The 27,892-nt window shown below is 37.8% G+C and overlaps 1 long non-coding RNA gene across 1 annotated transcript; it reads left to right on the forward strand.

The window, feature by feature from the left end:
* The first annotated feature begins 172 nt into the window (after nucleotides 1-172).
* Nucleotides 173-27,892, forward strand: LOC105370995 (uncharacterized). The gene is made up of 2 exons (XR_932653.1): nucleotides 173-310; nucleotides 27,776-27,892. It is a non-coding gene; the product is annotated as an uncharacterized LOC105370995 (long non-coding RNA).

The raw sequence follows: 27,892 nt of genomic DNA on the forward strand, positions 1-27,892 counted from the left end.
CCCGTGGCAAAGCTATCTAGTCCTTTCCTCCACTCCCTCCTCCCCAAGGGTGGAGCTGACTTACCTGATGAATGATGAGCCTGGCAGGGGGAACCAAGCCTACCTGGCTCAGCTGCTTCCTGATCAACCACTCCTGAAAAGGACTTACATTCTCTTGACCTTGCAGTTGACTTAGCAGAGAAGGCCTCGTCCTGACCAGGAAATCCCTGGTTTCCAGTGCTGTCTGTCACAGAGTGGTGAGTTGAATTCAGAGAAGAACCTCTTCGCTACCAGACCTAAGGCAACCTTCTCCCACCCAACCTGAATAAAGGTAATATTTTGATCTCCAGCTATGCAATTCCTGTCTTTCTAAGTTAGCTCAGAATTAGCCCTCCACAAAGCCCCACAATGGTTCTAAGAGCAAACCCTGTATCAAGAACTTCGGTTTTGAAGGTGCTTAGCACGGAATGAATATTTTCCACCAGTAGAGTAGAGCAGCTTTTTTGTTTGTTTGTTTTGTTTTAAGACGGAGTCTCCCTCTGCCACCCAGGCTAGAGTGCAATGGCACGATCTCGGTTCACTTCAAACTCCACCTGTCAGATTCAAGCGATTCTCCTGCCTCAGCCTCCTGAGTAGCTGGGATTACAGGCACCCACCATCATGCCTGGCTAATTTTTGCATTTTTATAGAGACAGGGTTTCACCATGTTGGCCAGGCTGGTCTTGAACTCCTGACCTCAGGTGTTCTGCCCGCCTTGGTCTCCTGAAATACTGAGATTACAGGCATGAGCCACCAAGCCTGGCTGAGAACAGCTTTATAATACTTGTTAGAGAGAACATAACAGCTGCCTTATATGCTAGACATATTACAGTATGGTCATATAATTCTCTTTCAAGAGATGAGGTAGGATTTATTTTCTATCTAAATCCATGTAACGATGAGCTGTGAGAGCAGACGGTCCTTCTGAATATATGAAAATACCACTGAGCAGAACTGTCTTGTTCTTGCATGCTATTAAAATGCTGTCAATTTGCAACAACAGGATGGCTAAAACACCCCTGATGTCATCAGACATTATGCTAGCATCAGCCAAGGAATCGCGGTCAATTTTGTTCATAATGACCATAGTGTGTTCACTGCTCTAGAAAGATATGTTAGGGCTGATGGAATTTTCACTAATATAATTATGATGTTTGCTATGCATTAATTCCCAGTGGATGAACAAAAGATCAAGTTGTTTTGCCAAATGCGTAATCGACAATGAAAAAGTAACCACTGTTTTGCAACTGGTACCAAAGTTGATTCAGCAAAGCATGACCTTAGTTCTTAAGTGTTTTTTTTATCTTATTATACGGCATTTCACCCGTGGAGAAACACTATGGACATTTTACAAAGTTAGGCTGCAATGAGCATAATAAGGAATTTGGGGTGTCATTTAGAGAATTGGGAACCACTCAAGGGAGTTCGTTCTGTAGAATTAGTTTAGTAGCATTGTAGGAATAAATGGACTGAACAAATCACTTCTAAAACAGGATACTTATACCAAATTTCCAAACTATTTTAAGTTGTCACATTGAATTTCTATGCTAAACAGCAAACAACCAAACCTACCAGTAAGATTTCAGTGACTGAGGAGTGTGCGTTTTCCAATTCTGTAACCTGACACTGGAGATTCCTTCTCTTTCCACATTAACAGGTTTTATATTTCTAAGTGACGTGATGAAGCCCATTAAATTGTCATTATGCTCCTGGCTTCAATCCACCAAATTTGGGGAGAACAAATTATATTCTTTATTTTATCAGTCTTGCTTAGGGATTACTTACAAAGTCAATTGGTCCTCCATCTAGAATAGCAAGAATACGCATACACATAAAAAAGGCACATTTTTAAAGAAACGAGCAGAAAAGTTACCTTTTTTCCAAACCTTCATCAGTTCTTTAATTTTGCCATTACAAGGCTATGACATTTCACAATAAAAACAGTCTTAAACAGTGGCAAAGAATTCGGACACCTACAATAGCATAACACCGTGTTTCAGTAATTTAGCAAGGGCATGATTAATTCAATAGTGGCACTACCAAAAAAAGAGCAACAATTACTCTTTTACTGCAAATACAAATGATTGTCTATCATCCTTATTAATTATTGTTATTACATTATAATAAGAATATTTGATGGTTTCTGGATGGTTAGGCGGTGAGCTGTGTTCTTTCCCTCATTCAAATACAGCTGCTTTCTTTCTTCCACAGAGCTTGTCTCTACACAATGTTTTTGCTATACCTCTTTTGCAATGAATGAATTTGCTTAAAGGTAGAAAATATTTCTTTACTACACATAAGGTCTGCAGATTTTGGACAGAGTCATGTTGCACTCGTTATATTTCTTCAAAGTTACGACCACTCTTACTTATAATTGTGTATATTGTGTTCCCTCACCCTAAAACACTCTTCCCTCTCTCCTCTATCTAGTCTCTTTCTGTCTAGATAACTCCTATCTCACCTGCAAGCATTAGCTCAGATACCACCTTCCTTCCTTCTACTCACTGTGTTAATTTGCTCTCATAGGCAGTCTCACAGCATCACTTGTGAAACTTACACAGCAATTGTTGAGTCGTTACCCTCTTCGGGAGGAGAAAGCCATTATCATAGGTATCTTAGCATATGTATCGGGTCCTCTCAGCTTCACCTGTGTTCAGAATCTTTGGCTACATATCTCAGCTAACACTGGAGAGACCCATTTGTGGGAGGACTCTTCCGGGCATTGCAGAGGCACAGGCTCACTTCATACCTATCCTTCACCAAGTCTTCATTACTGAGGCTGATACATATCCAAAAATGCAGGAGAATTAGCACTCTGTGTGGCCAACTTTTGTCCAGTGGAAGACCTGAGCCAATGGATAAAGTCTTCTTTCCTCCTCTAGATGTGACTATTCTGAGGCACAGCCATTTAAGTGATTTCTTGGAAAGCAGTTATGCAAGATCAGTTATAATAGCTAGCTCCACAAGTAACCCTAATATGGGTTCTTCTTCTTTTCTCCTCTGTTCTCTTTTTCTCTCACTTTTGCTTTCCTAGGATTGTACTTCATAACAAAGGGAGCACATTAAGTCATTGTCTGAGGCTCTGTCTGCTGGGGAACCCAGGTTATGACAGGCAGTAACTAGGATATAGTAGTTGTTTAATAAAGGGTTGTTAACTAAATTAATAAATACTTCTAGAATCAAAACTACTTTCTTAAATATTTATTGATAGTTCAAAATCTCATACTTTCCTTAAGAAACCCAAAGGGTTTGAGGTGCAATTTGTCATAACACTTGGATATCAAACATATGATAGAGAGTAGGTTACTGGCAAGAAAAGACACTGGGAGACACAAGTGTGGTTTTAGTCACTTGCTTACCCACTAACACCATGAACTTGCTCATGTCAGCTAAATATTTTGAGATATGGTATCCATATCTCAAATGAGATATGATATAGGTTTCTCACCTATAAAGTGAGAAACCAGATGAAATTTGCCTTTCTCAGCCTAAACTATACTGTGTCCTTACAAACTAGATCCATTACCCAAATTCCAAGTCTGGGGTAGAATGTGAGAAAAACAGAATACAAATGACTGAGATGTAAATTTCTAAGGGGACTAGTCAGAGGGGAGAATAGTCACAGAGAAGTACAGTTTGCCTCACTAATCTGTGGATCTTTGCCTGGAAATATCAGACAGGATAATGACCCCCATTCCTTTCAGATTCAAAATTCCACAAATTGTTGGAATACTGGCAGGCAGCAAAGATGTTGTGGGTTCAGTTCCAGACCACCGCCATAAAGTGAATATTGCAATAAAGCAAATCACACAAATTCTTTGGTGCATATAAATGTTTTGCACATAAAAGTTATGTTTATACTGTACTGTAATCTAGTAAATGTACAGTAGCATTATGCTTAGAAAACAATGTGCACACCTGAATTAAAAATCCTTTGTTGCTAAAAAATGCTAACAATTATCTAAGCCTTCAGCAAGTCATAATCTTTTTGCTAGTAGAGAGTCTTTCTTTCACGTTGATGGCTGCTGACTGATCAGGGTGTAGTGGCTGAAGGTTGGGTGGTTGTGGCAATTTCTTAAAATAAGACAACAATAAAGTTTGCTACATTGATTGACTCTGCCTTTCATAAAAGATGATTCTGTAGCATGTGACATTGTTTCACAGCATTTTACCCAAAGTAGAATTTCTTTCAAAATTAAGAGTCAATCCTCTCAAATCCTGCCACTGCTTTCTCAACTACATTTGTGTAATATTCTATATCTTCTGTTTTTATTTCAAAAATGTTCATAGCATCTTCACCATGAGCAAACCCATCTCAAGAGACCACATTTTTTGCTCATTCATAGGAAGCAGCATCTTATCCCTTTATGTTTTATTATGAGATTGCAGCAATTCAATCGCATCTTCATGCTCCACTTCTAATTTTAGTGCTCTTCCTATTACCACCACATCTGCAGTTACTTTTCCCACTGACGTCTTGAACTCATCAACATCATCTGTGAGGGTTGGAATCAACTTTTTGCAAACTTCTGTTAATGTTGATATTTTGACCTCTCCCCATGAATCAGTAATGTTTTTGATGGCATCTAGAATTGGTAATCCATTTCAGAAGATTTTCAATGTACTTTGCCCAGATCCATCAGAGAAATCACAATCTATGACAGCAACAGCCTCACAAAACGTAATTCTTAAATAAGAAGACTTGAAAGTCAGAATTACTCCATGATCCACAAGCTGCAGAATGGACATTGTGTTCGCAGGCCTGAAAACATCAATTTCCTTGAACATCTCCATCAGAGCTCTTGGGTAACAAGACATATTGTCAGTGAGCAGTAACATTTTTAAAGGAATATTTTCTTTCGAACAGTAGGTTTCAACAGCGGGCTTAAAATACTCACTAAACCGTGTTGTAATCAGATGTGCTGTCATCCAGAGTTTGTTGTTTCATTTATAAGAGCACTATAAGCAGAGTAGATTTAGCATAATTCTTTAGGGCCCTAGGATTTGGGGAATGGTAAATAAGCATTGGCTTCAACTTAAAGTCATCAGCAGCACTAGACCCTAACAAGAGAGTCAGCCTGTCTTTCGAAGCTTTAAATCCAGGCATTGGCATCTCCTCTCTAACTATGTAAGTCCTAGAAGGCATCTTCTTCCAATAAAAGGCTGTTTTATTTACATTGAAAATCTGTTGTTTGGTGTTTAGCCACCTTCATCAATGATCTTATCACTTCATTGATCAATGATCAATGAAGAGTTTAACCACCTTCATCAATGATCATAGTTAGATCTTCTAAATAACTTGTTGCAACTCCTGTATCAGCACTTGCTGCTTCACCTTGCGCTTTTACGGTATGAAGACAGTACCTTTCCTTAAACCTCATGGACCAATCTCTGCTAGCCTCAAACTTTTCTTTTGCAGTTTCCTTACGTCTCTCAGACTTCATAGAATTAAAGAGAGTTAGGGTTTTGCTCTGGATTAGGCTTTGGCTAAGGAGGATGTTATGGCAGGTTTGATCTTCTATCCAGACCATTCAAACTTTCACCATATCAGCAATAAAGATGTTTCACTTTCTTATCATTCATGTGTTCACTGGAGTAGCACTTTTCATTTCCTACACAGACTTTTCCTTTGTATTCACAACTTGGCTGTTTGGTGCAAGCAGCCTAGGTTTCGCCCTATCTTGACTTTTGACATGCCTTCTTCACTAAGCTTAATCATTTCTATCTTTTAGTTGAAAGTGATAGATGTGGGAATCTTCGTTTATTTGAACACTTAGAAGCCATTGTAGAGTTATTAGTTGGCCTAATTTCAGTATTGGTGTATCTCAAGGAATAGGCAGGCCTAAGGAGAAGGAGAAAGATGGGAGAACAACCAGCTGATGGATCAGCCAGAACACACAAAACATTTATCAGTTAAGTTCATCTTCTTACATGGGAGCAGTTCTTGGTGCCCCCAAGTAATTACAATAGTGCCATTAAAAGTCACTGATCACAAATCACGACAATAGACATAATAATAAAAATGGTTTGAAATACTGTGAGAATTCACAAAATGTGACATAGAGCCACAAAAAATATATGGTTTTGGGAAGATGGCACCAACAGACATGCTCAATGCAGAGTTGCCACAAACTTTCAATTTGTAAAAACTGCACTGCCTGTGAAGCACAATAAAGCAAAGCAAAGTTAAGTGAGGCTTGCCTGTACTTCAAAAAATATCCTATCTAATTGGAAAGAGTGAATTTACATAAGTAAAATAATTTTAAATTGTTATATTAATAAGTGCAGAAAGAAAATATTCAAAAGTGAAGAAAGAGAATGCAAGCCAAAGAACACTAATAAGTCACAAAGCCTTTTTCAAATGTTTAGCATATTACAAACACACACACACACACACACACACACACACACACACACACACACACAGAGGCATTCTTATAAGAGTAGGCATTCTTACCAAGTCTTTGTAAATGATAAATCAGCTCTTGTTTACAGTTCAAATCGATATTGGGCCAATGCCTCAATAAAGGATGAAGGATGTGCTTAGGCTGTTCTACTAAATCTCCATTTTAGATCATTGTAACTTCTTATTCTCTTTTACACCCACTTTAAGTGATCATAGATTGATTAAATACCCTAGACAAAAATTAGAGTCAAGTTATTTGAAGGCAAAAGGAAGACTCATATATTAGTATTAGTAGAGAAAGAATTCATGTCAGATGGCAGCTGAGCATAGGCTAAAGCCTCCCCACTCCTACTTCAAACAATAGAAAGGCTAAATAAAATATTTTAACATATAACATTAAAAACCATGACAGAGCTGAACCCTAAGGATGGGAAATCTTCAGAGGCTAGAAACAGAAAGAAAAACCTGTTGGTGGGGAGTACATAAACCAGCAAAGCCTACAGTGAGGAAATGGGGTATTTTTAGTCTGGCTATAGGACATGAGGCTGGAGTTCCAATATCCAGGCAGGGAAAACTAGATTTGAGGTTTTAGGCTTCAAGCATATAAGAAGTCTAAAATTGGGTTTTCTGCAGGCAGTTAGAGCTGGTCCTACAACACAGGTTCATAATCTGTGATGAAGAACTTCAATATTCCTACCTTCCAGTTAGAGGTTTAGCCCAGATGTATGCCATACATACATGACTATAGTAGAAAAAGCTCACTAAAATGAGATTGGGACATTTCATCTGCACTGCAGGAGGATTGATATTTTGAATTTAAAGACTGTAATTTAAAACTAGATTAGAGATGATATGTTTTGGGATAGGGCAGAGATATTCTCAAAGCTGCATTATAGAGAGCACCTGCAATTCTACATAAGATAACTAACGGATGATAAGCTCACCTATCAAGAATTATAAAATTTGAGGAGATGCAATGCCTTTTTTTTTTTTTTTTTGAGACGGAGTCTCGCTCTGTGGCCCAGGCGGGAGTGCAGTGGCGCAATCTCGGCTCACTGCAAGCTCCGCCTCCTGGGTTCACGCCATTCTCCTGCCTCAGCCTCCCGAGTAGCTGGGACTACAGGCACCAGCCATCACGCCGATGCAATGCCTTTTAAAATAATATGCATACATCCCAAATGGGTGAACTCACTCAGAGTAACTCAAGAAAGGGAAACAGCAATCATAAAGGTTTTACTCAAGTTAAAAAATGAAAGATGAAACACATCTTTTTTTTTTTTACTTGTGTCAAAGATACAATAGAAGGGCTAATACCCACAAAACAAGAATAAGGTATTATAAAACAAAATCTGATATATTAAAAAATTAAGTAAAATTCTGAAAAGAAAATCTACTCATTAAAATAAAAAATACTCAAAAGATGGTTGGAACAGTAGATTAGACACCATAGAAAATAAAATTAGAGAACTGGAAGACAGAAAAAGTTACAGAGACATAAAGTGGTAGAAATTATGGATAAAGGACTAAGAGCTTTGGAGGATAGAAACAGCAGCTCTAATATACATGTGAGGGAAGTCCCACAAGTAGAAACTAAAGAGACTTGTGGAAAGTCAATATTCTAAGAGACAAAGGATGAGAAATTTTCAGAAAAAAGAAATGAGTAGTCAAAAGTTATATCAAGTACTAATTAGGATGCATGTAATTAAGTCAGCACCTAGGTATTGCTATCACAACACCTCAAGGATAAAGAAAAAGAAAGATTGCCTATAAAAGCATGACAATTAGATCAACCACAGACTTTAGACACATCCTTGGGTGTTACTGTGGGTTCAAGTTATTAAGCATCAGATTGAAAAACATAGGAATACAGCTTTATGCAAATTCCTACCTTAGGATTAGAAACCCTGTGGCCTAGTTACCATTCACTCCTTAATTGGGATCAGAAATTCCCAGTGAGAGTTTGGGGGTCATGAATCCTGTAGCTTGATAGTTTCCTAGACTATCCCCTTGATGAGCCTCCTGCTCAGTTCACACCCTTATGTCCCCTGATCCTTTTTGACTGCATCTTGCTGGTCTAGTGTCTTCTTCCATCTACATCTTCAAATGGCTCTAGGCTCTTCACTGGGCTTTTTCTCAGGCCTGGGCCACAGATGAATGAAGTGAATCTTTGGTATTTCAGAGCAACTACTGGTTTTAAAATCAATTTCAAAGAGTGTGCATCCCCTTCCCATCATCACTGACAAAAAAAAATGGTACTCAACACTACATGAACAAGAGAGTTTTTTATTCACAGATTGGGCTTCATGGTGCATGCAGAGTTCAGAGTTCGGTGTCTCAGATACTCATTATAGAAAGGACTAAACACACACATACACAGAGAGAGAGAAAAAAAAATACATGTAGTTAAAATTCATTCTAAAGAAAAAAAAATTCATTCTAAAGAACCTCGGTATAAGAATTTAAGAATGAATGTTAATTATGGATTTTTCTGTTGAATGTAGCAATAGATTTCATCAGCCAGCGAAGGCAATCTATGGGTTATATCTAAACACAGTTGACCCTTGAACAACAAAAGGTTAGGGTTGCCAACATCCTGTGGAGTTGAAAATCCTCATATAACTTTTGACTCCCCAAAGACTTAACTACTAATAACATAAATGGTCCATGAACACCTATTTTCTATGTTATATGTATTATGTACTGTATTCTTACAATAAAGTAAGCTAGAGAAAAAATGTTATTAAGAAAATCATGAGGAAGAGAAAATATATTTACTATTTAGTTAGTGGAAGTGGATCATCATAAAGGTCTTCATAATTTTTATCTTCAGGTTTAGTAAGCTGAGAAAAAGGAGGAAGAGGAAAAGTTGGTTTTCCTATCTCAGGCATGGCAGAGTTGGACAAAAATTTGTATATAAGTGAACCCTCACAAGTCCAACCTGTGTTGTTTAAGTAGCAACTCTATGTACAATATCTAAGTATCTCTATTTGTGTAACTAATGGATAATTTTGCAATTTTTTTTATAATTATTATCTAATATCTCCTAAATGGAATCAGAAGGTACAGTTTCCTACATATTTTGTTACAGCATGGATGTCATCTCAATTTCAGTATTATTGAAAAATTCACCCTGGGTAAGAAATGGTTCACATTTTTCCTTTTTACCTACACTAGAAATCTAAAGCTTTAAAAGAAAAGAAGCTTTAAATAAAAGGAGCTGTTGGTTAACATTATACAATGACAGTCATTACAATTTCAAAAAATATCAAACTATTACAATTTTCCAACTAAATGAATGAGGATGCTTTGGGTTAAGTAAGATATTATTGTCAGGAATTTAAAAGTTCTTACATATAATAAAAATCTGTGAAGACTGCAGAACCATACGCATATTGTTGCTCCAGAAAAGTCAGGTAAAAAGTAATCAGATATTTTGGACAGCAGTGATCAAATAGCTGCCGTGAGTCTTACAACCTCCAGACAAGGACTCTGTGACCCACCTCCAAGTCATAGGCTTCTTGTTTCCCAAGCAGCATGTGTGTAAGGAAAGTAGGAAAATCAGACTCCTCAAAGATGTAGTAGACTGTTAGCTTGTTTGTTTAAACCTGCTTTCTGGGATAAGCTGTATCTTACTTTGCATTTGGGGCTGAAGGTTAGACAAGGGTCAAGTAGGAGATTTCAACACATCTGATGAAAGTTTGTTCTTCATGAGAAGAGGAGAACGTTTCACCAGTTAGGCCTAATGCCCTCATCTTAACCCCTTCGTATTATTCGCCTGTGTAAGGAGGCTCAGCGGCATAGGGCAATTTTAAAACTCAATGCACAAATCCATAACATTCATTATTATCTAACTTCAGAAACTACTCTCTAGCCTGAAAGCTCACTGTTCAAATATGACCTCGCATTAGCACCGGCCAGTTCATCCTGGACTGTGTTTGTGGATTAGGGACAAAGTGAAGACATTTTTTTTTTCCTTTCAAACAGAAATGATCACAACTAAATATCTGTGAAAGCCAAACAAAGGAATATTCTTAGATATTTAAATGCAACATGTACTTCCTATTCTTAAAAAACGAGTCACAATGATCTCAAATATTTTTCTAAGATGATTGTTCATTCTTTAAACACATTACTGTTTGTTTGTGAGGGTAAATTCTAGTCTTAAAGGCTTATAAATCCCTCTGATTGGTACTAAAAGTTCCCCCTGTCTCAGTGACATTGTTTTCACAGTTATATTTTAGCAGAGAGAGAGAAAAAAAGTATAAATAGGAGGAAAAGTTGTAGAGAGACAGGATAGCTGATCCATGGCTCACATTCTCAGTGTTTGCTTTGTAAACTGCTGCCACACAAAACTATGGCCATGTCTCGCTTATGACAGGGATACATTCTCAGAAATGCATCATTAGGTAATTTTTTTTTTTTGGCTCACTGCAACCTCCGCCTCCTGGGTTCAAGGGATTCTCCTGCCTCAACCTCCCTAGTAGCTGGGATTACAGGTATGTGCCACCATGCCAGCTAATTTCTGTATTTTTAGAAGAGACGGGGTTTCACCATGTTGGCCAGACTGGTCTCAAACTCCTGACCTCAAGTGATCTGCCCTCTTCAGCTTCCCAAAGTGCTGGGATTACAGGCATGAGCCACCGTGCCCGACCTCATCAGGTAATTTCACCCCGCGGTAACTTCACAGAGTGTGCTTACACAAACCTAGATGGTATAGCATACTATACACCTAGGCTATATGGTATAGGCTATAAACCTGTACAGCATATTGCTGTACTGAATGCTGTAGGCAACTGTAACACAATGGTATTTGTGTATCTAACCATAACCTAACATAGAAAAGGTAATGTGCTGTTTATATTGTTAAGATGTTACAAAAGCTACAACATCACTAGGCGATAGGAATTTTTCAGCTCCCGTATAAACTTAGGGGACTTATGTGACATAAGAACTGTACTTGCTATGCCCCAAGGGGATTAAGAGATGGGGAATAGGGAAGGGAGATGTTCTCATATTGGCATCCCCAAGTCTTTGCAATGACTTGCACTCCTGGCTCCAGGTCTTGGTTAGTAGACATTTGCTACAAGTCTACTGCTGAGTTTTAACATTGCACTTATCACTCTGTATTTCATCTTCTGATTCCTTGTCTATCTTTCTCGATAGACTATGAACAACTTGAGTACAGAGTCTCTGCCTCATTCGCTTCTCTATCTCTAGTGCTTGACACAGTTCTGAGAACAGAGCACATGCTCAATATTTAACCAGAGAATCAATGAACACTGAAGTCACACCTACTTGTAAAAAGATGCACCCACTTCCCTTCACCCTCTTACATACACTTAGATATAAATAATATTTGGGGTTCATCCAACTGAATTCCACGTACTTAATTAGCTGCATTTTCTTTTGCACGTAACTATTCCATCCTCCCACTGTGTCCTGGGTGAGTGCCCCCCAGCTCTGCTTTCCAAACTTTCCTGTTACTTCTCTGTTCCTGAGTTATGCAAAGCATCTTAAACACCTGGAAATAAAATATTTATGTGCTTCTTTCCATCCTTCACACCATAACCACAAATGAAAGAGGAAACTATTTTTAAATAATGCAATAATATCATAAAGTCAAATAGCATTCTGTGGGGAAAAAAACCAGATAGTAAATAAAAGTCAAGCTAGCCATTGAAGTTGTCCAAACTCCAATACTGAAAGAAAATAAGACAAATGTTTGAATTACATGATAAATCAAATTTAATGCAACAATATCATAATTTCATAATTAGTATTTTCTTTTGCATTACTTTCTGGTTAAATCCCAAAGCCAAACACATTTTAAAATACTTCTCCAACATACCATGGTTTAGAGGCCTGAGCTAGCAAACAACTCATAATGTTCTTTACTTCCTGTATCCTGTGTTTTATTCTAAAGTGGAAATAGCCAGGTGTAAAACTGCACATTCCATTTTTCTCATGCAGTGTGATTTTATTAGATAACTGTTTGGAATTAACCATATAATTAAAATTATAGCCATGACCTCGTCCTATTAAAGAATGGTTACAGAAAAATGACCCAAATGTAACATGAAACATGGTGGATATGCTCCTGTGGTTTTTACCTTAGGATCCTACCACCTTCTTAGCTTATTTTATATGTAAATAAGATCCTCCTTGCTCATGATGCTTCTCTGTCTCTTGTCAGTTATTTGCCATCTTTTGAAACAGGATTAACTGTTTCAATGACATGAAGCATATGTCTTTAATTCCCCAGCCTAACTTCCCTTGAACTTGATTTTACTTTTAAATTTTACATTTTCTTTTCTCAGTGATTCACCCTCTATTCCTAAATATCACAATCAGAACAGAAGACAACTCATTTACCCTTGATATTTTAAATAACCTAGACTTCTCACTCTCATTGTAGATCACAAACATCTTTTCCTGGAGCCTCACTCCTGCCATGCCAGATCTCATTTTTGCTCTGTCTAGCCACCCTGAAACGTCTTTCCTGCTACTCTCTATCCACTCAAAACTTACTATTTCTTAAAACTGGCTCCTGTCCTCTTTTGCTTCTTGAAGACTTTTCCTTACAAAAGCAATCTCAGAGACATATATCTTTCTCGATTAAAATGGCAATTTTCCACCAGCTTCCCATTTAACAATCAGGAACATACTGTTTTCCGTTGCTCATTTATTATTTTACAGTTATTAGTAGTGGCTCTTCCATGAGATTATAACAGGGGTTGCAAACTCTTTCTGTAATGGGCCAGACAGTAAATATTTTAGGTGTTTCCTGCCTTACAACGTCTGTCACAACTACTGAACTCTGCCATTTTCGTGTGGCAGCAGCCATACCCCATATGTAAATGAATGGAATGACTGTGTTCCAACACAACTTCATGTATGAACTCTGAAATTTAAATTGTATGCAATTTTCACGTCACATGAAATAACATTCTTTTGAAAATTTTCCCAACTGTTTATAAGTGTGAGAACCTTTCCTAGTTCACAAATCACACAAAAAGAGATGGCAGACTGGGTTTGGTCTCTGAGCCATAGTTTACTGACCACTGGACTATAAACTTCTTGAAGGCAGAAACTGATGTTGCAGTGTTCGAGAGTCCAACAGTTGTTCATCATTTACCTAGCCTAAGGCAAGGGACCAATGATTCTAGCCATCCAATCCGGGAATGTTTGGAGGGCCTGAAAAACGTTTTAGAAAACAGATATAAGAGGTTGAAACCTCAAGGAAGCAGGAACAAGAAGAGCCTCAACTTCTCTCTCCACTTCCTAAGTTCCCAGGATGTCTGTGTTCAAACACAGTATTTCTTTGAACTAAGCAGAAATCTTTGAAAGGGCAGAAGGCAGGCTCAAAGCCGCAGATGCCATTTTGAATACAAGCTTCATATGGTCTCCGTGGGAGTCTGTAAAACCCAGCACTCTCCTCTGTGGGAGTTCTTCACTTTTAGCGTGATGGCTCTGTATTTAATTACACTGTATATTTTCTTCTTTAGTGCTGTGATACAGAAAGACAGAGACACAGAGGGTGAAGGGGAGAGAGAGAGAGAGCTGTACTCCAGCCCTGCAGATTAGAAATGTCCTCAACATCCAACCCATGAAGCACACGAAGATACTCCCCCTTGACATTATTTATCTAGAATGCTCTCTTTGAGTTATAGTACCAAAGGGGGGAGATACTCATTTAATGAAGAGAGAGTTTAGTCCAGTTTAAAAGCCATAATTTTGTATGCATGTCAGAAAAACACATAATCTGAACAATAAATTCACCCAGCCAGACTGAGGGCCCACTTGCCACTGGAATCTGTTTTTCTTTTTAACATAATGAGGCGACATCCCTTTCCTTGGAGAGGAGAGTTCAATAGTTTAATTTTTGTTAACTGAGATCCCTTGTATGAAGGTAAATTACATTGCCTTTTCTATTACTAGCTCTGTTAATTGTCAAGCAATCAGAGTTTATGCACTCATCCAAGACAGCGGAGAATTTCCCATAATGTTACAAAATAAAACCTGACAAAGCACAATAATCTTTAGTTTATTGATGTGCTACCAGGCTGTTGAAAGCATCAGATCAGTAATGTGCTTTGATTAGGAAATTGGGGTCTAGGGAGAAATATTGGGAGTTAGAGAGAGAACATCAAGGCTTGCAGAAAAATATATTAGGAGTTAAAAGGGAAAAAAGATGTTTGTGGTGGGATTTTAGATTTTATGAAAAAAACACTGAGATCTTGTAAGGATTCTGAAGAAAAACACATCTGGGGTGGACAGATGAACTTTGGCCCCAGTGGCCAAAAAAGATTTATTTTTTTGTTGGGAGAGGTGCTGCATATCATAATATAAATAACACACACAATTTCCAGAGTTCCAGGAGAGGCACATTCTGAAGATAGTCGTTGCATGGTTTAATATACAAAAATTAGGTAGCCAGGATGGCAAAACGAAATCTAGATTTAGTTTTAAAAAAAGTTAAAAACAGGAGCTCAATAAAATATCCCAGCTGCTTTTCTAGTTTCCTTCAAATTCTACCTGCAATGATGAGAAAAATAACTCAACATTTGCTTGGAGCCTTGGGGACTTTTAAGATCTGCAAAATTTATTTTTGGAGGGTTATAGCCCTCTCTTCATGCTCTTTCCTGTGCTGTTCTGTTCTTTCCCCCGTTCCCTATCTGATAAGGGATTCTACCTTGGACTTGTCATGCCGGACACCCCTCAGGACTTGCAGGTATAACTTATGATGACAATATTCTGGCTTTGATGCTGAGCGAAATGAGGGTGCATGGTCATGAGTACTTCCTTCTGAGTACTTGAAGGGTTTACGTTTCCATTTTTAAAGTTTGACTTTGGTAATCATATTGACCCTAGGAATTAAGATTTGAGCTGCGTTATTAAATTGTTCCCATAGATTGGGATTTTGAGCTCTAAGAAGCTAAAGACTTTGCTTGCTGACAGAGAGCTTATTTGGGAGCCAGCTTTACATTAATATTGTAATCGTACTCAAACTTATTTTAGGAGTCAAAGGGAAACCATGTAAAAAAAAAACCTCCCATCATATCAAAGGAAAATGTTGATTAAACAACTGTCTTCACAATCCCAAATTCAAACTGTCCTAAAGCATAAAAGATGATAAATTTCTTATTTGGCAGTTTGGTATTTTAAAAACTGAGATGTATTAAGTGTAAGAGTTTGTAAGTGTGTATAGGAGGTAAGTGTGTATATGTGCAGAGGGGTTTGTGTGTGAGAGAGAGAGAGCAAGTGAACGAGAGGTTGAGATTCTCTACCTTGCAATAAAAGATGGCAAGGTGATAAATTAGTGCTCTCAACTGAAATTGATTACTTTGTGTTCCCATCCAGTTCATGTGGCAGCCACACAGATGCTCTGAAACACCTTAATGACACATTGGAGAAAACTTCTCAAGCGGGCCCTGTATAGTGTTCTTTCCCTTCCTCCCCTCATTGGCTCCCAGAGTGAACGTTGTGGATGCTGCGTACATTAGGGAAAAGGGCATGCAAACATTCCTCCACTCCCTCTTGCACAGAAATGTCTTTATTTTTTATCTCAGGAATCCTTTAGACAATCCTAGGAGCCTAAATGCTAAAATGACAAATGTAAGTGATTTTGTCTTCTCAATGCTCAGATTTATCTATTCCCGGCTCTCTGGAGAGGCAGCACATACAGCAAAAAGATGAAGCAGCATCGAGCCACCTAGAGGCAATCTTACCCAAGCCTGCCCAGCAAAGCAAAGCAAAGTTATGAGGCTTATTGCCATAATTGTAGATTAAATGAAACTGCCTACTTTACGCTCAAGGATTGAAAGGGATAAGTTACCACTATACTTGAATTAAAAGAGTACTAGGGAAGATGGACCATTACAATGAAGCCCTCAGATTTAAACAATTCAAGAAGTCTTATGGTAAAATCCCTAATGGGATATATTGATAACTGCTGAAATGTAATCAACTCCCTTCCATTGAAATTATGAGAATAGCTGATAACTTAAGAAATTTCAAAAATCTGTATATATATGAACATTTATATATATTTATATATTTATAATATATAAATATTCCAGAAATTTTAATAAATATTAAATCCTCAGTTACTATAAGAATTTTTACCAGTATAAAAATAATTTAAAAATAATATTCTACCACTTAAGAGTATTACAGCTTTGAAAGGAGACCCAGATTTCAATGTCTATGTAAGTCTGTAAATGGCTTTATTGAGCCTTGCAAACATTAATCAAAAGTTCTATGAGTTATTTATACATTGTTTTATATATGCTTAACAATCTACATCTATGTGTTGAATTATTCTTTGTGCTTAATAATTTTGAATCTGTACTAACTACTTTTTAAATATTCTGCAGGATTTAAACCTCATTCACTGATCATTTCCATTTGGTGGCCTTAAATACTGAAAAGTTGTCACAAGAGCGATGGTGATGTGATTGACTATGGTCAATGCAGGACATTCTAGTGGTCAATAAGCACAGGCAATGGTACAAGCTCCTTTAATACAGATAAAGCCTACAGCTTATTACCCAAATGAAGACAAAAGCCCTCAAGCCCCTTCCAAGGAAAGTGCCTCCCTCAAACAAGATTCTTCAGTTTCCTGAAGACATTCAATCTTCTCACCCTCAGAAAGGTCCTTTCCTCTCCTGGCACCTTCTCCAACTTTTCTGAGCCCTAGCGCTATCCCTTCTTGCTTGCCTGCTGCAAAAATCACTCCCCTGTACATTCCTGAGTGTGAGACTAGGTGATAGAAAGATCAGAGTTCATATGGCCCCATCTTCTAGCAAGGCTGGGTGACAGGCATCCCTTAGTCCTGCTACTGCAAAAATAGTGCAGTATGTACCTTATTGATGTCCACATAAACAAATGTTCCAGTAATGTGTATCTTTCTTTCTTTCTTTTTCCTTTTTTTTTTTTGAGACAGAGTCTCACTCTGTTGCCCAGGCTGGAATGCGGTGGCTTGATCTCGGCTCACTGCAACCTCTACCTCCCGAGTTCAAGTGATTCTCCTGCCGCAGCCTCCTGAGTACCTGGGATTACAGGCAAGAGCCACCATGCCTGGCTATTTTTTGTGTTTTTAGTAGACACAGGGTTTCACCATGTTGGCCAGACTGGTCTCAAATTCCTGACCTCAGGCGATCTGCTCACCTCGGCCTCCCAAAGTGCTGGGATTATATGCGGGAGCCACCGCGCCCGGCCAGAAATGTACGTATTTCTTAAAGAAAATCTTAAAGCGTATGTTGTGACAAAAACATTGGTTGCTTGCAAAGTAGTAGTCTCTTATTAGATCAAGCAGCATCGAAACTTTCCCACCCTTATTCCTCATCGGTTAAAGAAATAATCCCTCCATTTTGTAAGTTTAAAAAACTGCATTGTTAATATCTTCTACTTGAGCAGATCTTCAAGTTTAAAAGACCCACTTAACTTTTTAAAAAACCTCCCAAGATGTTAAAGGATTTTTGTCTGAGTTTGTATACCAGAGATTCGACTAGTTTACCAAAAGCAACAGTGACAAGTATAATAATAACTGTCTATCTTGCTTCTCAAAGTAGTTCCCCAGACATTAGCTTAGTGGCTAGTATATTCTGTATTCACAGATGAAGATACTGAACTGTCAAGAGCTCAAATGAGTTGTCCAAACTGGCTGGTGATTGTGCTCGGCAGGTATAGTTAGACTATAATACAGGGGAGTGAGGTGGGTAAGTTGGCTGTGGTGTCACCAGTGTCTCTGTGAGAGTTTTTTAACCCTACACATTTTGCACTGTGATAGAAAAAATAAAACTATGACCTGCATAATGCAATTTACATAGAGCTGTTTTCGTGTAATTCTAACAGTGTTATTGCATTTATGAAGTTCTCTACTTTCTTCTTTGTGATGGGAGTCACGTGGCCCCTCCGAGCCCCTTGATGTACCTCCTAGGACCAGAATAAAGCCTAAGCCTTTGTATCCTAGTATGTCACTGCAGTTAAAAAAAGCACACATTTGGAGATTTTTGAGGGAGGATGGAAACAAGATTGAGGGAAAAGGAAAGCACGTGTCTTTGTACCTTGCATCTCATTATGTTGATCATTACCAGTACGTTCGATTTTGCCCAAGAGAACTACAATATTCTGAACAAATGGTTTTAAAACATGTATTTTTTTTTTTTACCAGTAGGACCTTTTCATAAGTGAAATCTTATATTGAACCCTTTTTTATAAAGAGACAAATGCCAAGCTTCCCTGGATGTAGATAACTCCTTCATCCATTTTAGGGCTTCTTGAGATCCCCCCTTAGAACCCTACAATTCAGGAGGGTCTCATTTGAAAATAATTCTCCTAAACAATTGAATTAGAAACATCCTGCCTTGAGCAGAGGCCTTTTCTTAACTATATGTTATTGAGGGGTTGATTCAATCTTCCTCACCTCATTCATTCCCCTCTCGATATTTCTCCCCTTAAGCCCAAACCGAAACTGTCTTTTTTGTGTGATCTGATTAAATATTTCCTCATAGCACTGACAGAATTCTCTAGAAAAACTCCCCTTACCTTCACTTTTGTTCAGCTTTGAAGAACACTCTTCCTATTCAATAATAACTTATTGAGTATCCTCTCTATGCCAGGTACTGAGAAACCTGCAGATTTGTGTTTGTAGTCAGGAGATTCAATTCCACTTTGTATAAATCTGCCTTACTTTGCTTCTTGCTTAAAGAAATCTTGGATTTTTCAGAGATTTTTAACCAAAAATTAAAAAATCAAGAAGATAAGAATTGTCATTTCCATGGGAATCTTCAACTTAATGGTACATACACAATTTAAATAAATGGGAAGTCACATACAATTATACTCAGGGAAGTGTAAGCAGACTTTGTAAAATAGTTGTTGCATTCCTTCATATTGAATAAAATAATAAATTATTTGAATAGTTCTATTATCTATCCTTAACTGAAACATACAGTGCCTGTCCTATTTCTTCAAAAAGCTTGTTAATATGCAATCACCTAGTACAACTGCTAAGTTTTTAAAGGTCACCCATGTTTTATTCATAAAGGGTGGTTTTCTGGAGGGGAAAAAGGTTACAATGTCATGTAATACCATATTCTGATGGAGTATTTGCTTTCCAAGATAGGCTCTAATGGAATGGATGGAGAAACAGTGAGATTTGGGGACAGGGAAATAACTTGTTTCAGAGATATCAATAAAATTTCATTTAGAACAGGAAAACTTTGAAACTGGGGGGAGAGGGGGAACTTTCTCTACTTTTAACTATCAAGTAAGCATGACAGCCTGTGTTATTACTTACACTCACAAATATTTGGTTTTCCCCTAAGGCCAGGTACCTGGAAGGAAACATTTCCAGCCCCCTTGAAGTTAAAAGTGTAGCCATGTGACCAGTTCTGTCCAGTAAAATATGAGTGGACGTGATTGTGTCACCTGAAACTGAAGCATTTCATTGACATTATTTGAACTACCTGCAGCTCCTCCTTCTGTCATGGTCATGGGAAGGGCAGTATTCTAGATGTAGGGATTAGTATCAGGGGGCTGCTTAAAGTACCACTGCCCCAGTAATTTGCACAAATGCAAATTTGTTCAGAATGATTCTGCATGGGAAGGAAATAAACATTTGCTGTGTTGAGTCACTAAAATTCTGAGGTTGTTTACATAGTGCACTATTGCCTTTTCCTGGCTAATATATGGACCTAGTCATACCTTTTACACATATTAAAAAGTCAAGTCTCTTCCTTTCACAGCTAAGCATAATCAGCAAAAGATATCCTAATACTTACCTAGTTCATCAGCCTTTAATGGATGTTAATCCAACTTTCCAAGGTCATATATATTTACTAGAAACAGAGAATAAAAAATAATTTAGCTAGTCCTAATCCAAAGCTCTTTGTATAGCATCTAGTCTGTATTTTAAGATGAAATTGAAATAGTTGCTGTTTCCATCCTTGGGTAATCTTATCCCTTCCATTATTTTAAACTGCTCTTCTATGTAGAAGACAACAGAATTATCACCTCGAAGGATTTCTCCTTAAATTCCTCAAAGTATCTCACACTTAACCACCGAAACAACATCACACTCACTTTCCAGGTGCCATGATTTATGCATCACTTGACTCTGAACAATGGCAAACATATTTCTTTGTAGTAGGACTCAATAAGTGTTTCAATTTAATTGAATAAAAAATTAATTTCTATTTTTTCACCTTGATTCATTTGCACTGCATCTTTCTAATCACTGGAATTAAGAACCTCCAAGTCATCTTTTATTTCTTTTTCTTCCTCAACACTAAAGGCCAAATGGCTGCCAAGACCTTTCATGCTATTTTTACTTCATCTTCAAAAATCTACGCTCTTCTTTTCTGACTATTATTTCAGGCCTTCATCTCTCAAATGCAACTTACCTTTTCCATTTTAATCTCTGATTATTCCAATTTTTATATTGGTTCTGGAACTAAATCATATTTTCTTCCTTTCTCTCTATTTTATTTATGCGTCATTCTTAAAATTTTCCTTCTGGTCAGAAAGAGCAATTTTTATAGAAAGGAAGAGAGAGTTTGCAGTGTATAGGTTAAGGAGAGAGGTTTTAGAACCCAGCTCATCTGGGTTTGCATCTTGAAATCTGACTTCAGTTGAATGACTGCATATCCTTGATGTCACCAGTTAGAATTTCCATGCTTCACTTTAGTCATGTAGACAATTGTGACCTGATCTTAGCGCTTACCATTTTCATGCTTTTTGAGATCTCCTAATAAAACCTACTTATACACAAACACACTTGCAGACACCCCCCCCACACACATACATTGGTAAGCAATGTAAAAATTATGAAAGATTTCTTAGAGAAGGTGAAGGAAAGGCCCTACAACGCATCGCTCCCAGCAGAACCCTTTTTTCTCTACCACCGTCTACTCACTTCTATTTGTTCTCTTATTTATTCTCTTCTGGGCTTTTCCTTCTGGTATCTCAAATTTCTTGTCATTTTCCTTATGCAGAGCAAATTGGCAACTATAATTTTCTTGTGGTCTCACCCTTACTTTTAAACAGCTTCTAGAAATGTATTTTCCAAATATGTGCATTGTTCACCCTACAGTGATTTTCATTTAAGTTGTTCCTCCATCTTTAACCCAGGATGATATCACTGTCCTTATGTTTTGTGAGTATCCAGTAGTTTAATGTATGCAAAAGCTTGGGAAATAACCAATCATGTATCAGAATTATTATTATAGAAATATGAGTGTCTTATTTGGTGAGATATTTGTAGATGACAATCACTACTAGCACTTCTGGGGTCCAAATAAATCAGGATAAATATCAGGGGACAAAATGCAGATTAATTGCTAGATCAAGTCGTATTCTGTTTTGTTTTGTTTTGTTTTTTGAGACAGAGTCTCACTCTGTCGCCCAGGATGGAGTGCACTGGTGCCATCTTGGCTCACTGCAACCTCCACCTCCCGGGTTCAAGTGATTGATTCTCCTGCCTCAGCCTCTCAAGTAGCTGGGACTGCAGGCACACATCACCACACCTGGGTAATTTTTGTATTTTTTAGTAGAGATGGGATTTCGCTATGTTGGCCAGGCTGGCCTCGAACTCCTGACTGCAAGTGGTCCACCTGCCTCGGCCTCCCAAAGTGCTGGGATTACAGGCCTGAGCCACGGTGCTCAGCCTCAAGTCGTATTCTGATGCAGGTCAGGCAGGTCTTTTAGGGGCTCTCATTTGAGCAATAACGAGGGACCCAGGCTTTTTCCATCTTGTGTCGCCATGGGTGGAAAAGAGCACAAGAGATACACGGCCAGGTTAGAAGAGCCAAATATCATTTCTGCCTACATTCCATTGGCTTGAACCAGTCATTTCCATGCAAGGTACGCTGAGAAACAGCTGTTTTCTACTGGAAGGGGAAATAGGACTGGTGAGCCAATCCTTAATGTAAGGCCTGTGTTATTACTAAAGTAAAAACTGTGGCTAAGAAAATCTCAAGATAATACGCATGAGTAAAAATTTTGTAAAACTTTTGTACAAGATTAAGTTAAAATAAGATTTATTGACAATGAGACATGAGGCATACCTTTTGCTCTACCATTTTCTTACCCACTCATCTGAGGCAGGCTGACACTGAAACATACCCCATCCCCCTTGTGGATGATTCTCACCTTCTGGTATTCACTCCCTTGTGTAGCCCTTTCCCCTTGAGCGAGAGCTGGGCTGGTGATTGCTTCTAACCAATTGAATATGATAAATGTAATGGGATTTCACTTCCATGATTAAATTACAAAAGATGAGACCTTCCTTTTCTATCAGACTCTTTCTATTGCCTTCTGGATTTATATGCTTTAATAAAATAAGTGGTCATGTTGCAAAGGCCAGGTTGGCAAGGGATGGGGGTCCTCAGTCAAACAGCTCTCCAGATACTAGGTTCTGCTACCACCCTGAATGAGCTTACAAGTAGATCATTTCCCTGAAGTGGGACTCTCAGACAAGACCCCAGCCCCAGCTAACATCTCAATGGAAGCCTAGTCAGAGACCCTGAAATAGAGGACCTAGTGAAGCCACGTCTGAGCCCTTTACCCACAGAAACTGGGAAATAATGAATGTATCATTCTGAATTGCTAAGTTGGCTCTAATTTGTTACACAGTAATAGATAACTAATGTACTGTTCTGGTTAGTGTTAAGATTGCCTAACACATGTATGTATATATGTGTGTATACATGTATGTATGTATAAACATATACATATGTATATATGTGTACATATACATATATGTGTATCTCCAGTTTGAATTCAACTAAATGGTTTTAGAATACATCCATAATTTATATAGAGAAATCGATGCTTCCAAATCATCAGAGAGCATGCATTAGCACATTTCAACCAATATGAGCCAACATAGAAGATGAAAAATACAAATTTATGGTAAAGTGCAGAAATAGACAAAGTTAGGGTTAGAAAAAAGGGAAACCTTAAGATATGCAAATATTCGTTGTGCTAAATAAGAAAGGTGAAGCTGAATCAAACTTTAGGAAGCGTGTGAAATGCCAGCACAGACTCTGAAGGTTCATGTGCCTGTTGGTTTCTTTTCCCTTAAAGCAGCTTAAAAATGAGCCAAGCAGTTTGATAAGGGTTTTTTTTTTTAATCTATATACACTTCCTTTCTAAAAAAAGCCAAAGTCACACATTGTCTCAATTTGTGTTCACAAAAACCAGATGTATTTTTCTGAAAAGGATGCCTGCACTCCTGGCTCCCTTCCTCACTCCTCTATAGGTTCAGATAGAGCCCCAGTATTGTATCATAGACCATGAGATAAAACCTAAATTGTAAGGAAGTTGCACAAAGTAAAGCCTTCCAGTTGAAGTAATAACATAAAATGCATTTGTTTAGAGGCGAGGTTTTTATTTGTTGCTATGGCTGCTGTTATATTTTAAGAATATATTGTAATGAATGATTTAATTATACTTCTACCCAGAGACTTTGCAGAAAGGATGCAAATTTAAAATGCAACCAATTGATTAAATGGCTTGCGTATGTGTATAACACACACTTTATGTGACTCTATGTGAAGAGGACAGTGGGATCAGTGATTTGATGGTTGACAGTAGAATGTTCAATTCGACCTCATTCCATGTTTTTCCCCTTGGACCCAGAGGACAGTGCCAAAAAATTTCAGTTGAAGCTTAAGCAGTTTCAGGATTTTTCTTTTGACTTATTAATAAAAGACAGCTGGCAAATTAGCTATTTTTGAGTTTAGTAGCAGAGTTCATAATCAAATTTATCCATGTTTCCTCAACTCTTACTCCATGTAGGTAAAACTAAAAGAGCCATTTTAACTTGAACTTCGGATTCTGTGACAAATAGATACTCTTAAGGTGCTTTTACATACACTTCTGTGTATCAAGGCCTTTTCCTGTGTAAATGGATAAAAGGAAGAAGGTACCCAACCCACCCATTCTCAAATGACTCTATCCAGGACCCTTGCTTTGATTAGCTCAATCTCCAATTTAAAAATGCAAACGTGCCTGAGACCGTTAATGCGTCAATACAGCCATACTTTAATACGGATGAGTTTAGTCTAAGATGCATTTCTGAACAATTTAAATGAGATAGATAGGGGTGGGGAGAATGGGATTTTGGATAAAAGAGAATAGGAAGGCCATGTTAGCTTAGAGGGAGAAAGTGCCATTCAATGCACAGTGCAGTGAGTGGGGCAAGTGGCTTGGAACAGCTTTCAAACACTAGGACAGGGAAAGAAGGGCTAAAAGCAGGACCACCAGTGTATACGTTTATGGACTGCAATCTGTGATTGCAATCTTCCCAGGAAAAGAAACAAAAATGAATGACGATTAGGGGTGTGCAAATGCAACTTCCCCAGGTTTTCAGATAAACATTTTTAAATATTCTTTTTCAAAACTATTTTAAATAACTATTGTGTATGTGTGTGTGTGCATGCACATGTGAAATCCTAAAATTCAAATTATTCCTGCCTTGATGGATTTTCTGATTCCAAAATTCTTGATAAGCTCTGCTAAGCTGATCTTTCTCTCCCATTTCACTGGTGCCCCAAACATGTGCTTTGGCCAGCTCTGGCTACAAATATATTATTGCTCCAAGTTCTTACAAACAGAACACCAAAAACAAATTTTTCTGACCATTGATTATGCCTTCAAAACTACCATTTTTGTCATCTTTACCTGACATGTCCTTTAAAATGTGGTCTGCACAGAATGATTTAATTTCTTCACCAAATACTAACTTGCTCAATCCTTGCAACTTTTCTACCACATAGGGTTGGCAGATAAAATATAGGATGCCTAGCTAAAATCAAATTGCAGATAAACAAATACCATGTTAATATAAGCATGTGCCAAATAGTTGCTAAATCTGGCACCTACAACCTCACACCTGAAAGTGTCCCTTACCAGTCTTTATGGACCATTACATGCAATGACGGGACCATAAGTGGACCAGACACACAACATAGAATCTGAAGGACCATCTGCCCCATTTACTCAATGACTTTGGACACATCGAATATTTCAGAACTAATTGGAGGCACATCTTCTATGTACACAGTACATGCTCTGAGTGTCAGTTTCAGTGCTAGCCATAGCAAGGTAAAGCAACAGCTCTGTAGAAAAGCAGTGCTTCTGGACTCTGAAAATATGTTTTCAAGTTTTATTCTTTTCAAGAGGCATTTATTTTTCTCAACAAAAACTTAAAGTGGAGGTCTAATGTATACAGTATACAGAAACGGAACTTCTGTGTTTGAGAGCAGAGACCTGACTTTGCAAATTCTTGGCTCTTCCTTCATTGAAGACCATGGCAATCTCCAGTGGAGACTGGAACATTTAGGGCTCCAGCTGACACAGCATGTAAACCACGCTTTTAGTCCACTATCTTGAGTGTAATGCTGCTAACAAGAGAAGACACTGAAGAGAAAAGAAGAGATAAGAGATGCATTGCCTGCATTCTGGCCTCTTTTGCCATGTTCTCTGTTAAAAGCCAACATAGTTCACTTTGGCATGAATGCCATCAAAATAAAGGTTTTTTTATTTTTTGCTGTTTTTTTCTTCCTGTTTGGCAATATAAGGAATTCTCTTGGCCATTTAATGATTTACTATGTACAAATTCCCATGTCCAGATTTGGCGAAACAGCCCATCTGGATCTGCCCTAGGCAAAGAAATAATATCTCTGGCTAGATATAACATCAGTGTAAAGTATCTTAATATGGTTGGCCAGGTATGCGAATTCCCTGAAGGTATATGACCTTCATATATATATATTTTAAGAAGGCATATAGTTTAAGAAAGAAGGCAACTAATGGCCACTGGGAGAAAGATTTTGTTTTGGCCAGGCTTCATTCAGGACAATTTTTCAACCTCACTTAGCTAAAGGCAATGCTAAAAGCCACTTAACTCAAAGATCTGACTGTGTTTGTGTAAGTGTTTTATTATTACCACTTTATGCAAGTCTAAGAAACATGACTGAATCGTAAGTGAATGAAGCAACTCTTTACCCTTTACAACCAGTTAGGTCTTTGGAGTTATTAAACCAGCAAAAAGAAACAGTTTGTTCCAGCATTTAGACGGCAAGTGTGCTCACTAAATAAATCTCAACATAAATAAGGTTCTAAATCTATGCATTTATTAGGACTCTTTACCAGTGGTGACATTTCTTTGGCCTCTCTTGGAGTTTCTACTTTGCTTTTTTAGTTGAGACAATCACACTAGTAGGAAATATAGCATTAGTCATCTCTAATCTTCAGAACATGCCCTTCTTACAGAGGTATAATTTGACGAGTCTCAGAAACATTTCTATCAGAACAAAGGGATTGAGTAGGCACAAGCTGAGAACGTTTTGGGGAGGGACGACTTCACTGTGTTAAGTGTTTACTTGGCACTCTACAGCATCTTCATGTTGGCTATAGACACACTTCAGCCACAAAGCTAAAAAGAGCACATTTGCTTGTCTGACTGCCTTTCCATGTTTCATTATCTTAAACCCATCAAAGGTACATTTATTTTACTGAAAACTTAGTAAGTCAGTGTCAGAGCTACTCTTCCCATTTTTACAAATGGAATCATACATCAACTTTCAATTACCAGGGATATCTGGTAGAAGAAAAAAATTCACAGATTAATTCTGAATCTTAATTTGGCAATTGATTTCAGCCTTCCCTTCTTCAGAACAATTCTCGGTGAGCAGCCAGATGATCTAGAAAGTGACTGAATTGAGTAATAATAGTATCAATATTAATTATATGACTACGATTTTCGAAGTGTTTTCACATTCATCATCTCATTTAGTTTTCACAAACTCTCTGTGATGGAGATAGAAAGTGTGAGCTTTATTTCTCTTTCAACATGAGAAAACAGAGAATGAAAGTTCAGATCACTTGCCTAGGTATTTGGCCTGATTCTTTCTCTATAATACTATACCTAGAGAATCCAAGATTTAGCAACCGTAGTACCACTTTGTTACCTGTACATTCGTATTTGGTGAGCTGACAATGAGCTCATGAATTGAGGATATAAATACAGCAAACCTGGTTTTTAACAAAATGTTTTAACACTTTCATGGGATTCCTTCCCAAGATCCTGAGAACTCAGTTTTGTGAATTTCCTAAGCACTGTGTGAATTTACTAAGCCCACCTTTCTCTTCTTTCTTTTTGTTCATGGTTGTTTTATTCTAATGAGTAGTCTAGTCTATAGAACAATGTAAATCTTAAATGGTTTATACATTTTATGCTGTTAACAGGCCAAAATACAAGGCATCATTTACAATGGAAAATGGAATAACAAAGTTTTGTTCAAATGAAAGTGTCCTAACCTGTGCTGTTTTATATTCTAGATTCAAACACATGATCTAGAAGTTGAGAAGTTTCCAGAGAGTCAGATATCCTGCCTAAGATCTTTTCACTTCTTCTTACCACGTATAAATAAAAGACGACATTTTTGAGGCATGAAA

Source organism: Homo sapiens, chromosome 15 (genome assembly GCF_000001405.40).
Source record: "Homo sapiens chromosome 15, GRCh38.p14 Primary Assembly".
Taxonomy (NCBI): domain Eukaryota; kingdom Metazoa; phylum Chordata; class Mammalia; order Primates; family Hominidae; genus Homo; species Homo sapiens.